Raw genomic sequence first — 13,828 nt, 5'->3', positions numbered from 1 at the left:
CAAAGTAAACCAGGTGATGTCCTTGGAACTTGGTGACTCTCTGGGTGTAAAGTCCCAGTCCCATGTGGGTCCCAGCATCGGTGGTCTGGTTGCTGATGAAGATCAGACTCCAAGTCTAAATTTTCTGGAGATCTACACCTCCCAAAGGAGGCTGGTGAGTCCTGGGGTGGCCCTTGGATAACTTCTGTGCAGTAGCAGCTGCTGGAAGACCGCAAAGATCCCACAGGCTTCTGATCAGAAGAGCACCGACTTGGTTGTCAGGGACCCTGGACATGCCCTCCTGCCTGCCCTCACTGGGGCCTCCGTAGCTGCTGGGGAAAACTGCTTCCTATCATCACTCAGTGACTGGACAGCGCACTGGGCTCAGGAGAATGTTACCTCAATTTAAGGTATTGGTGATATTAAGATAGGAAAATAATCTTTACTTTTTATTAAGAAAATGTGGTAAATATGGAACATATCTAATAGTATATGGAAGCTTTGAAATTTACTGATGAAATAAAGCCCTGTGGAGAGCCCGTTCCTCTTAATCTATGGAAACCCCCCCGGACTCTGAAGCTGCTGCGGCTCCTTCCCGGCCCTGCGTTCCTGCTTCCCTGGGAGATGTGGCCACTCTCCAGCATTAAAAAAAGTGTTCCTTCATTTAAAAAATAGTTTCCATATCTGTACAATACATATTTTAGCATTTCTGAGATCTATTACAATGTTATTATTGTGTTCTCTGGGGCTTGCTTTGTTCTTCTTTCTACCTTTCTAAGATTCCACCATGTTGCTTGTTTAGTTCAACCAGTGCTGATAGGGACACGTTTGCACTTGTCTCTCAGTGAACATTCGCAAGAGATTTTCTAGGGTAAGTATCTAGGAATGGGAATTTCTGAGTCATAATGTATGTGCAAGCCTGAACATTCATGCTTTCCTCCATATTCACTAGTAGATTTGTCTTCTAGTTGGTAAACGCAGCCGCCCCTCGGGCTCGCCGTGTCCCTCTGACCTTTCATATGCACCAGTGGGTGGTGTGAGCTCAAAGCTCGCTGTCCCTCTATCTCTCTCTGCCTCTCTTTTGGTCTCTCTCTGTCCCTGTCTCTGCCTCCCCCTCCCTCTCTGTTCTTGTCTCTGTCCCTGTCTCTGTGTCTCCCTCTGTCCCTGTCTCTGTCTCTATGTCCTCATCTCTGTCTTTCTTTGTCCCTGTCTCTCCCTCTCTCTGTCCCTGCCTGTCTGTGTCTCTCTCTCCGTCCCTGTCTCTGCCTCCCTCTCTCTCTGTCTCTTTCTCTGTCTCTACCTCTCTGGGTCTCTCTCCCTCCTCACTGCAGTTTCCTCAGGGAGCACGGCCAGGGCCCCCCAGAAGACCTGCAGGAGAGATAGTGGTGAGCGGCTCCCACTTAAAAGAGGAAAGAACAGCTTCCCCTCTTGGGCATCGAGAGGTGCTTGCGGCTCGCGTCTGTCTCTCTTTCTCACTGTCTGAAGCTGCCTGCCTCCTCCTTCTCCCGCTTCGTGCTGAGAAAGTAGTGGCAGAAGAGGCGGCCCTGTGGGGAGTCAGGAAGAAGGGACTGTGATGGTGTCCAGAGGCTGGGGAGGTGACTGTGTTCTCGGGGGATTCCACATTCTCTGGGAAACTGAGGCAGGAGAGCAGAGCTGGGGCAGAGTGAGCAGGAAGTAAAACGGGCAAATCTGAAATTTGAGGTGAAGACGGCTCTCCATGTGCATACGGTGCTCATTGAGGAAGAAATGCTGAGGCCTCAGAAGCCGACATTGGGAATTCATGTGTTTCAGTCTCCTGGGAGCTGGAGTGCCGGGTCTAAGTGGTGGTTCTCTTATCAGAGCAGCGGAAGGGCTGCGGAGGAGATGAGGCCCTGCAGAGGTTCAGGGCCAAGGGACAAGCCTTCCCCGCTGGCCTCTCAGGGGGCAGGTACAAGTCCAGAGCCTTTTGAGTGAGTTTCTCCGGTTGTAACAAGCTAAAAGGTAACAGGAGAAGATGTCCTTTTTCCAGGCGAGAGTCACATCTGGAGGAGTTTCAGGGAAGTGGGAGCCTGGGTGACAGAAGGGCCCCCACGTTTCAGGAAGCCCTTGGGACTGGAGAAACAGAGCGAAGGCCTGCTTTGGGAAGTGCAAAATCGTGACCTAATTTGAACTGGTCAAGACGCTGTTCCCGGTGTTCAGGGCAGCCTCATGCCAGCCCCAGTGCCTGGCCACGGGCGTGGTGGTCTCTCACTGGAGTGAGGAGGACACGTCCTTCTCCACGGGGAAGGTTCGGAGACAGGGTCCACCTGAGTGTGCAGGATTTACAGAGGTGGAAGTGGTGGGGAGTGCGGTCTGCAGCAGTTAGGGCTGTGGGGAAGCTCTCTCTAAAGAAATGAACTTTTTTTTAGCTGTGAAAGTATAGCTCTCAGTGTTCTCTTACTTAATGATTTTTTTGCTAACAGAAACCTCAGAATTGAAGTGTGTGCTCCTATCGGAAAACCCACTCAGCCCAGGCTCCTCATGGGCCTTCCTTGCACCCCGCACCCCTGCTCGGCATTGATTTTTCCTTGGGTCCTATTATCATCCGCGTCTTCGGCCCTAAGTTGTTAGTGTAAATAACATTCTAGAATATGGCAATGGCAACGCCAGAGAAGACGGGGCCTTGAATCTGAGAACGGGGCTTGGGATTAAGAAGTCAGGACTGGATTTTAGGACGTGGCAATGGAATGACTGACTGCCCTCTGTGCTCCCATCTGCAGCCTCCAGGCAGAAGCCGCTGCTGACGGGGAGAGTCTGGTGAGGTCCCAGGTGGATGATTTGCTCCAAATTGTGGAGCATGTGGTGCGGTTAATTTCCTGATCATGCAGCCTTGTGAACACACCAGCAGCAGCGTCCTGGAAAGTCACCTATAGGAATATTTGGGCCCTAATATTTCCTTCATGAATGTCATCGGTGGAGTGACATCATGTCATTTACTGACATGGTGTTTGATTAAGTTTAATCACACTAAGTTATTGCCACAATTAGGCCATATGAAGTCGCCAATAAGTGCTTTGCTGAATTAATTAGGCGACGTGAGAAGTCACTGGGGAACACTGAATCTCATAGTGCTCTCAGCAAACCAGCAAATACAGTGACAGAGAAACACTGGGAATAGCACTGGGAACAGCACTGGGAATGTAATAATAATGTAGCTGTTGGCCATTTTTGCCACTGCTATTATTGCATGAAGCATCATGCTCATTAAACATATCTTATTTGTAAACATTTGTGTGTGATCCAAAATGTTTGCTTTTGCTGTCACTGCCTCCACTTGAGGAAACACGCAGGGGCTTGCCCTGCCAATGTAGAAAATTTCATCAAAAATCCATATTGACGCTTGGCACAGGAGAGCAGAGTGTGAGTCCAGTCAGGACAGGTTATGCCATGGGGACAAGCAGCTTGAAAATCTCAGTGATTTGAAAGAAAACATTATTTTTTGCTCTTGTCACATGTACATAAAATTTGACCTGGGGGCTCTGCTCTGTGGTGTCCCCCAGGACCCAGGTGGGGGGATCAGATGATGTGGACACACAGGTCTCTTGCAGGCTCAGAAGCTTCCACTTGGAGCTGATGTGCTGGTTTCTGTTTACGTTCCATCAGCTGGAGGAAGTCACATGGCAGATGCCAGAGGACCAGCCTGGGAGAGGCTTTCTAGCAACCAGGACACCTGCCGCAGTGCCACGCTTTCTCCAGGAAACAAGGACAGCTGCACGGGTGCCCACACGAGAGTCGGCGACCAGCCTCGGCGGTGGGGTTCCTGCAACGCGTGTTCCTGCTGGGGTTCTCCTTTCTGCTGTTCCGAGCTACAGTGCGGATCATGCTCCCCATACGTGGAGTCCAGGGACAGCACAGCCCGGGGACTGCCCAGCCAGCCAGGAAGTCTGGCTTTCAGAGAACTGGGAAGACCATCTTCCACTTTATCCCATCTGGGAGACTGTAAACATGGATTCCACTGTCTCGGACAGTGAGACGATTCCCAGTCTTTTCCTGTTCCTCCTCTAGGTATGTAGCTGCTATCAGCTTCCAGAAACGCTGGAAGGAAGGGCGTTGCTTTGGCAGGACACGTGGGGAGATGGGCTGGGAGGGGAGATCCCGGAGGTAAGGAGGGGAGGCTTTCCTCTCCCCACACTGGGAACTCAGTTTCTAGCCCCAGGTTCCTGGTTGTGTCCGGCATCCCAGGAGCATGAGTGGGAAGCTGCTGCATCCACCTGCCGTGTGCAGTCGGGGACCAGCTGCAGAGCGCACTATGCATCCTTTAGACTCTGCAGGCTCAAGTGAAAACCCAGCTCTGCCACTGCTCTCTGGATGACCTTGCCACCTCCCTCTCCTCCTTTGAAAAGTGTGGGAAATGCTGCTTTTCATCAAGTCCAAGTCACCATGTATTGTGGCTTAAACGGCAGTGTTATTTTCTTTCTCAGTGACACATAACATACTGCTGCGTTTTTTAACAGATGCTGTCTTGGACGCAGTGAAGTCTGCCGATGGCTGTTTCAGAGCCGTTAGGATGGTGAAGTGAGACAATGTGAATGGAGTGTTTTGTGAGGCTCAGTGCTGCATAAATGCTAGCCATTATCTAATAGCAAGAATTCCTTGAAATGTTTCTTTCTCTCAAATTTATGAAAAGATTAGAAAATAGTTCTAAAAATTAAAAATGCTTCTGGTCGGAGCGGCTTACATGATGGCAGTGAAAGTGTGCAGCTTCATGGGTCCCACTGCGTGCACTTGGCATGGAGAGAACGAAATGTGGAGGCCAGCGATACCAAGAACACCCCTGTGAGCCGCGCTGGGTGCAGCCCCCACGGCCGGCGGGCAGTGACACCGCAGTTTCCTCTCCTGCCGGCATCCACGCTTCCTGTGCCCAGGTGCTGGAAGCTCAGTCTTCATGTCCCCTTCTCAGTTATGTGTCTGTAGGGCTGGGACAGGGAAGGAAGTCAGTGAAGCTGGTTGGATCTTCCAAGGGATGCTCTGTGTGCAAGGCTCGGGGACAAGGATGGCTGGGGGAGTCAGACTGTCAGTGAAGCTGAGGGGCGGATGGAGCCTCACCACGCCTGAGTCCCTGTTTTCCAGCTGCAGATGCTGACCCTCCAGAGCTTTGTTTACCAGCCCCTGTGACTGCGATCTGGAGTCAGCCAGGCGTTCCTCCTTGTCCGGTAGATTTTATTAAGTGCTCAATGTGTGCCAAGCCAAATGTCCGTTTGACTTACTGCATGTCCGAGAAGCGATGCCGTTGAAGGAATTTCCTCCCCAAGCCTGAAGGAATTGAACACCAGGAATGACTGGAACCCTGGAGAGAGAGAACTGGATTTCTGGAGGAAAATCACTCGTTTTAAGGAAGCAGCATCCTGGACCCTTGAGGCCCTGGAGGAAGCGGGCAGCACAGCTCGGAGGCGGGTGTGGCTGGAGGACGGCCGTCGCACCTGCGAAATTCTGTCTGTGGTACGTGGTTCCTTCCTGGCTCTGGGAACCACCTGGATACTTGCATTCTTCCCTTTTCCTTTCTATTCTCTTTCAAGTCACCCTCCTTGAGACAGCCCTCCAGTCCAGGCCAAATCTCAGCCTGCCCTTGGTCCGCTGTGGTTGGGCCTGCACCCAAGCCATGAGCACACGCAGCAATTGTGGCAGCAGAAGCTTCCTCTGGGCTCAGACTCAGGCTGATGCTGCGTCAGGACCTGCCGCGGTCTCGGCTGGGCTTCCTGGGACTCGGTGGTTGTGGGCTGATTGTAAAGCACGGAATGACTCTTAGAAACTGGGCGTCATTCTTTGTGGTTTTCCAAGCTTGGTCTCTGATGATACTCCAGGTCTTAGGAGACATGCTGAATATTTATTATGCTTACATTCAAGCAACATTAACCCTTAAGGTTGATGTAGCTCCCCGTCTTTTTTTCCCAGAAGGAGGAGCACTGAAGGAACACTTTTCCAGTATGGATTCTTTCCAGCTCCGAGAAGCTGGAGGCACACGGATCCCTCGGCCAGCTCTCATCTATGGACGTGCTGTAGTCACAAGGACTGTGACTAAGGCTCAGTCCCTGAAGAGTGCCTTGGCATGGGCTGCTTTAGGCTGTAAACACCCAGTTTTATCCACTTTATGTGAAGAAAGCCAACAAGGGGCATGGAGTGAGTTCCGCAGGTTTTAGTGGCTGCGGAGGCTGGTGCTCAGTGGGGATGATGGAGGGAAGGCGCCTCCCTCTGCGGGCCCCGAGGTCTGTGCGGGAATCAGCTCTGCAGTTGTGTCCAGGGGCAGCCGTAGACCACACACGGCAGGCTCACAGCTCTGTTCCATGAGAACTTTATACACAAAAGCAGACGGGCTGGCTTGGCCTCTGGATCATAATCTGCTGACCCCTGGGTAAGAAATTTTAAATATTTACTTAATTCTGTTCAACAGAAGGGGTGATATACTGAGGAGTGAATAATGGGAAAGACCTGGTTCAGCTGTATCAGGAAGGACTGGTGTAAATTCAACTTATTAACTGAATTCACAGTATTCGTGTTTTATGCCTTTAGGGGTTAAAAATGGGTCACACACGAGCAGCATGCACTTCACTGGCGTGGCAGGGCACCTCAGTGTTTACATGTGTGGTTCCCATGCTTACCAGGGCTGGAGGCCCGTTAGTAGTGAAGTGCATGTGGAGTTCTGGATACTTTTCCTGGCTTTCTCTATTTGTGTGAGCTTGTGCAGTTAGAGGTTTGGGCTGAATTTGGGTAGAAATGGGTGGCTCACAGGCTGCAAAAGTTCTGTGGACACTTTTTCCCCCAGCTGATTAATGTTGTAAATATTAGAATATTGTTACATAAAAGTCTGGATTTTTACTTTCTTTCACATTGGAATAGCTGCCAACATTGGGCCTGCATTCATCTCTCTAGGGCAACGTTGGCTGCAGCGGAGATGGCTGCTCCCCGGTGGGGTGTGTGCTCAGCCCGCAGCCCCCGCCCTCCGGACTCCGTTCGCCTCTGCTCTCAGCTTTGCACCTCGTCATTGTCTTCTAATTGTGCATCCCTGGACTGCGTGACCTACAAGGCTCTCAGCACAACAAGACTCTATGATTCTGTCTATTGGAACAAAAAGCCAGTGAGGCAAGTGTATCATCCTGTTGATGAATTCACAGAATTAACTCTGGGAGTTGGGGACAGTTTGTATTCTTCTTCCAGACACTCTCTGTTTCTGCTGGATGGAAAGGTTCTGCTACTTGTCCTGTGGTCAGGCCCAGCTGATGGAATGGAATGGAAGTGACTCAGCCCCTTACTGGCAGAAACTTTAAAAGCCGCACAACATTCCTGCACCCTCCCCTCTGCCATGAGCCTGGCAGTGCTCAGGATGGGAAAATTATTTCACCTGGGCCTGAGGATACAGGAGCTACTCCCAGCGTGCAGTGGAAGAGAAGCATGGGCAAGTAATTAAACTTTGTGTTTTCAAGCCACAGAGGTTTTTTGAGGTTGTTTGCTACCATGCTTTGTCCCTACAAACACAGTCATGGAGAAGGCCAGTGGCAGAGCCTGAGCCGTTCGTGCATCTGTTCACCAGCATCCAGAATAACAATAGATTTTTGAAACATTCCTGAGAAAATTCTGGGAGTTGCATACCGGCCAGTCTTATTCCCTAAAGTTGTTCCTTCTAAAGGGTGGGATGACCAAAAATTTCAGAAAAGCAAACCACCGCTGAAAGGCAACGTTATTTCTGTTGGCAGAAGGCGGCCTGAGCAATCTAGATTTTCCACGGTTCACCAACTAGTTTTTAAGGAAATATGGCTGTGAGAGGAATAAAACATAATTCCTACCTTTAAGGAACTCAGAGAAGTGAATTAAAGGAAGTCACAGATCAGGCAACCAACCACACAAAGTTTCTAAGAGCAAACTGTTCAGGTCGGCAAGTCACTCTTATCCACTGTTTTGCCTTCTGAGGTTTCAGTTACTCTCAGTCAGTCATGGTCCAAAAACATTAAATGAAAAATTCCAGAAATAAACAATTCACACGTTTTAAATCGTGTTTCATTCTGAGTAGCGTGATGAAGTCTCATACCGTCCCACTCAGCCCCACCTGGGGTGTGACACCTCCCTCTGTCCAGCAGGTCCACCCTGTCTATACTACCTGCTTTTCCAGTAGATCCACCCTGTCTACACTACCTGCCTGGCCAGCAGATCCGCCCTGTCTACACTACCTGCCTGTCTGGCAGATGCGCCCTGTCTACACGACCTGCCTGGCCAGCAGATCTACCCTGTCCATACTACCTCCCTGGCCAGCAGATCCACCCTGTCTACACTACCTGCCTGTCTGGCAGATCCGCCCTGTCTACACTACCTGCCTGGCCAGCAGATCTACCCTGTCTATACTACCTCCCTGGCCAGCAGATCCACCCTGTCTACACTACCTGCTTTTCCAGTAGATCCGCCCTGTCTACACTGCCTGCCTGTCCAGCAGATCCACCCTGTCTATGCTACCTGCCTGTCCAGCAGATCCGCCCTGTCTACACTACCTGCCTGCCCAGCAGATCCACCCTGTCTAACTACCTGCCTGTCCAGCAGATCCACCCTGTCTACACTACCTGCCTGTCCATAGATCCACCCTGTCTATATTACCTGCCTGTCCAGCAGATCCACCCTGTCTACACTACCTGCCTGTCTGGCAGATCCGCCCTGTCTACACTACCTGCCTGGCCAGCAGATCCGCTCTGTCTACACTACCTGCCTCTCCAGCAGATCCATCCTGTCTATACTACCTGCCTGTCCAGCAGATCCGCCCTGTCTACACTACCTGCCTGGCCAGTAGATCCACCCTATCTACGCTACCTTCCTGGCCAGCAGATCCTCCCTGTCTACACTACCTGCCTGCCCAGCAGATCCGCCCTGTCTACACTACTTGCCTGGCCAGTAGATCCACGCTATCTACACTACCTGCCTGGCCAGCAGATCCACACTGTCTATACTACCTGCCTGCCCAGCAGATCCGCCCTGTCTACACTACCTGCTTGTCCAGCAGGTCCACCCTATCTACACTGCCTGCCTGTCCAGCAGATCCACCCTGTCTATACTATTACCTGCCTGTCGAGCAGATCCACCCTGTCTATACTACCTGCCTGCCCAGTAGATCCGCCCTGTCTACACTACCTGCCTGCCCAGCAGATCCACCCTGTCTACACTACCTGCCTGTCCAACAGATCCGCCCTGTCTACACTACCTGCCTGTCCAGCAGATCTGCCCTGTTTACACTACCTGCCTGTCCAGCAGATCCTCCCTGTCTATACTACCTGCCTGCCCAGCAGGTCCGCCCTGTCTACACTACCTGCCTGCCCAACAGATCCGCCCTGTCTACCCTACCTGCCTGTCCAGCAGATCCACCCTGTCTACACTACCTGCCTGTCCAGCAGGTCCACCCTGTCTACACTACCTGCCTGTCCAGCAGGTCCACCCTGTCTACACTACCTGCCTGTCCAGCAGATCCACCCTGTCTACGCTATCTGCCTGTCCGGCAGATCCGCCCTGTCTATACTACCTGCCTGGCCAGCAGATCCACCCTGTCTATACTACCTGCTAGACACTTACTGGCTGTCTTGGTCATCAGATCGTCATGATATCTTGATGATATCATGCCTTGTTTTCAAGGAACCCTCATTTTACTTAATAATGGCCCCAGAGTGACAGAGTGGTGATGCTGTAATTCAGAAATATGAAAGAGAAGCTGAAAAGTGACTCCTTTAAGTGAGCAGGTGAAAGTTCTTGACTTACTAAGGAGAAAATCCTGCACTGAGGTTCCTAATGTCTATGGTAAGAATGAATCTTCTATGCATGAGCTTGTGAGGAAGGAAAAAGAAATGCATCCAAGTTTTGCTGTCACACCTCAGAGTGCAAAAGTTCCAGCCACGGTGCACAGTAAGTGCTTGGTTCAGATGGAAAGGCCATTAAATTTTGGGGGTGGAGGGGAGGACAGGAACAGAATCATGTTCTGGTTTATGGCAGTTGGGCTCGGTATCATCTGTGGTTTCAGACATCTGCTGGGGATCTTGGAATCTATCCTTGTCAGATAAAGGGGGACTACCAGCTCTCTCAGTATCCAGAACAACAACAGATTTTTAAAACATTCCTGAGAAAATTCTGGGAGTTGCATATGGGCCAGTCTTATTCTCTAAAGTTGTTCCTTCTAAAGGGTGGGATGACCGAAAGTTTCAGAAAAGCAAACCACTGCTGAAAGGCAACGTTATTTCTGTTGGCAGAAGGCGGCTTGAGCAATCTAGATTTTCCACGGCATATGCATATATAGAAATAAAAGGCATGGCTGTTTATAATTTGTATCAGATTTAAAAGCAAGTGCAAGAATCTGACTTAAAGATGAGAAAGATGAGGTAGGGATAAACAGGTGCTTCTCTGGAAAGAAATGGGAATGTTTTCCCTCAGGGATAAATGCCGAACCTTGCTCAGTTGAAGCTCCCCTGAGTGTGTGGCAGAAAACATGGACGTGAGGTGGCTCCAAGCTTCCTGAGAAGTGGAAATAATTTGGTCCCCACTCAGGGTTCAATTGCAGCAACTCTCTCAACCCTGTGACACAAACCCCAACTGTGGGCCATGGGAAGGGTGTGGAGATAGAGATGGATAAACCAGTGTTCAGCTTGGCTGTGAGGGGCTCCCAGAGCCTCTGTGTGAAGGGCCGTGCTGCCGTTCCACTTAACTCTGTCTCTTTCAGAACATCCCCAAGGAGTGGTCCCTAGACTTTGGGTTGACTTCAAGGAGAACAGCCAAGGCCGTGCAGAATCCGGTCTGGGAGGCGGAGTGCGTGTCTGGAAGGACCCTGGATCAGAACCAGTTTGGTTATTCCTCAGGTCTTATGCCGAGTGTTGGGCATTCCATGTTGATAAGTGGTTGTGGGGATGCCAGCTGAAAGACCAAGCTGGACAAAGGCCTACAAAAATTGCAAGGAGGCATATCTCAGAAAGGAGATAGCAGGAAATGTCATAAAAAATGAAAGCAGATAGAAAAAATGGTTTGATATTAAGGTATCAACGATGCCAAGTCCCATTTTCATCTTGGTCTGGACCCTAGACAGCAACAAGGTACACTGGAAATTTGATTTGATTAAATCAATCCTTATATAAAATATTTCAAATATTTTTTAGAAGAATGAGCTAGTTTTCTCCAAATACAAGACAGAGGCTAAAGGTTTCTTTTAGCCATTTCATACATTCTTAAAAGTGAGATCTGGAGGGGGTGGAGCCAAGATGGCCGAAGAGGAACAGCTCCAGTCTACAGCTCCCAGCGTGAGCGAAGAAGAAGATGGGTGATTTCTGCATTTCCAACTGAGGTACCGGGTTGATCTCACTGGGGAGTGTTGGACAGTGGGTGCGGGACAGTGGGTGCAGCGCACCGAGCGTGCTCCGAAGCAGGATGAGGCATCGCCTCACCCAGGAAGCACAAGGGGTCAGGGAATTCCCTTTCCTAGCCAAGGAAAGGGGTGACAGATGGCACCTGGAAAATTGGGTCACTCCCACCATAATACTGCGCTTTTCCAATGGTCTTAGCAAATGGCACACCAAGAGATTATACCCCGTGCCTGGCTCAGAGGCTCCTACGCCCACAGAGCCTTACTCACCGCTAGCACAGCAGTTTGAGATCAAACTGTAAGGCGGCAGCGAGGCTTGGGGAGGGGTGCCCGCCATTGCTGAGACTTGAGTAGGTAAACAAAGCGGCCGGGAAGCTCAAACTGGGTGGAGCCCACCGCAGCTCAAGGAGGCCTGCCTGCCTCTGTAGACTCCACCTCTGCGGGCAGGGCACAGCCAAACAAAAGGCATCAGAAACCTCTGCAGACTTAAATGTCCCTGTCTGACAGCTTTGAAGAGAGTAGTGGTTCTCCCAGCATGCAGCTGGAGATCTAAGAACGGACAGACTGCCTCCTCAAGTGGGTTGCCTGACCCCCGAGTAGCCTAACTGGGAGGCACCCCCCAGTAGGGGTAGACTGACACATCACACGGACAGGTACTCCTCTGAAACTGAGAAAAAACTTCCGGAGGAATGATCAGGCAGCAACATTTGCTGTTCACCAATATCCGCTGTTCTGCAGCCTCTGCTGCTGATACCCAGGCAAACAGGGTCTGGAGTGGACCTCCAGCAAACTCCAACAGACCTGCAGCTGAGGGTCCTGACTGTTAGAAAGAAAACTAACAAACAGAAAGGACATCCACACCAAAACCCCATCTGTACGTCACCATCATCAAAGACCAAAGGTAGATAAAACCACAAAGAAGGGGAAAAAACAGAGCAGAAAAACCAGAAACTCTAAAAATCAGAGCGCCTCTCCTCCTCCAAAGGAACGTAGCTCCTCACCAGCAACGGAACAAAGCTGGACAGAGAATGACTTTGACAAGTTGAGAGAAGGCTTCAGACGATCCAACTACTCCGAGCTAAAGGAGGAAGTTGGAACCCATGGCAAAGAAGTTCAGAACCTTGAAAAAAGATTAGATGAATGGCTAACTAGAATAATCAATGCAGAGAAGTCCTTAAAGGACCTGATGGAGCTGAAAACCAAGGCACGAGAACTACGTGATGAACGCACAAGCCTCAGTAGCCGATTCAATCAACTGGAAGGAAGGGTATCAGTGATGGAAGATCAAATGAATGAAATGAAGCGAGAAGAGAAGTTTAGAGAAAAGAATAAAAAGAAATGAACAAAGCCTCCAAGAAATATGGGACTATGTGAAAAGACCAAATCTACATCTGATTGGTGTACCTGAAAGTGACAAGGAGAATGGAATCAAGCTGGAAAACACTCTGCAGGTTATTATCCAGGAGAACTTCCCCAATCTAGCAAGGCAGGCCAACATTCAAATTCAGGAAATACAGAGAACGCCACAAAGATATTCCTTGAGAAGAGCAACTCCAAGACACATAATTGTCAGATTCACCAAAGTTCAAATGAAGGAAAAAATGTTAAGGGCAGCCAGAGAGAAAGGTCGGGTTACCCACAAAGGGAAGCCCATCAGACTAACAGCTGATCTCTTGGCAGCAACTCTACAAGCCAGAAGAGGGTGGCGCCAATATTCAACATTCTTAAAGAAAAGAATTTTCAACCCAGAATTTCATATCCAGCCAAACTAAGCTTCATAAGTGAACGAGAAATAAAATACTTTACAGACAAGCAAATGTTGAGAGATTTTGTCACCACCAGGCCTGCCCTGAAAGAGCTCCTGAAGGAAGCACTAAACATGGAAAGGAACAACCGGTACCAGCCACTGCAAAACCATGCCAAATTGTAAAGACCATCAAGGCTAGGAAGAAACTGCATCAACTAATGAGCAAAATAACCAGCTAACATCATAATGACAGGATCAAATTCACACATAACGATATTAACCTTAAATGTAAATGGGCTAAATGCTCCAATTTAAAAGACACAGACTGGCAAATTGGATAAAGAGTCAAGACCTATCAGTGTGCTGTATTCAGAAAACCCATCTCATGTGCAGAGACACACATAGGCTCAAAATAAAGGGATGGAGGAAGATCTATCAAGCAAATGGAAAACAAAAAAAAGGCAGGTGTTGCAATCGTAGTCTCTGATAAAACAGACTTTCAACCAAAAAAGATCAAAAGAGACAAACAAGGCCATTACATAATGGTTAAGGGATCAATTCAACAAGAAGAGCTAACTATCCTAAATATATATGCAGCCAATACAGGAGCACCCAGATTCATAAAGCAAGTCGTTAGAGACCTACAAAAAGACTTAGACTCCCACACATTAATAATGGGAGACTTTAACACCCCACTGTCAACATTAGACAGATCAACGAGATAGAAAGTTAATGAGGATATCCAGGAATTGAACTCAGCTCTGCACCAAGTGGAC

At 49.5% G+C, this 13,828-nt stretch overlaps 1 long non-coding RNA gene across 1 annotated transcript, besides 1 other annotated feature; it reads left to right on the top strand.

Annotated features, from left to right (window-relative positions):
* Nucleotides 1-735: 735 nt before the first annotated feature.
* Nucleotides 736-7,979, top strand: FAM87A (family with sequence similarity 87 member A). The gene is made up of 4 exons (NR_103537.1): nt 736-850; nt 2,718-2,754; nt 3,601-6,346; nt 6,865-7,979. It is a non-coding gene; the product is annotated as a family with sequence similarity 87 member A (long non-coding RNA).
* Nucleotides 4,854-5,354: an enhancer, noted in NCBI's record as "H3K4me1 hESC enhancer chr8:328556-329056 (GRCh37/hg19 assembly coordinates)". NCBI's record gives its function as "activates a minimal SCP1, AML or CMV promoter by ChIP-STARR-seq in naive H9 embryonic stem cells {active_cell/tissue: H9 hESC(naive)}" and the evidence as "EXISTENCE:reporter gene assay evidence [ECO:0000049][PMID:30033119]".
* Nucleotides 7,980-13,828: the final 5,849 nt, after the last annotated feature.

This window comes from Homo sapiens, chromosome 8 (genome assembly GCF_000001405.40).
Source record: "Homo sapiens chromosome 8, GRCh38.p14 Primary Assembly".
In the NCBI taxonomy this organism is placed as follows: domain Eukaryota; kingdom Metazoa; phylum Chordata; class Mammalia; order Primates; family Hominidae; genus Homo; species Homo sapiens.
The sequence above is the reverse complement of the archived record's forward strand: the minus strand, read 5'-3'. Positions and strand labels throughout refer to the sequence as shown.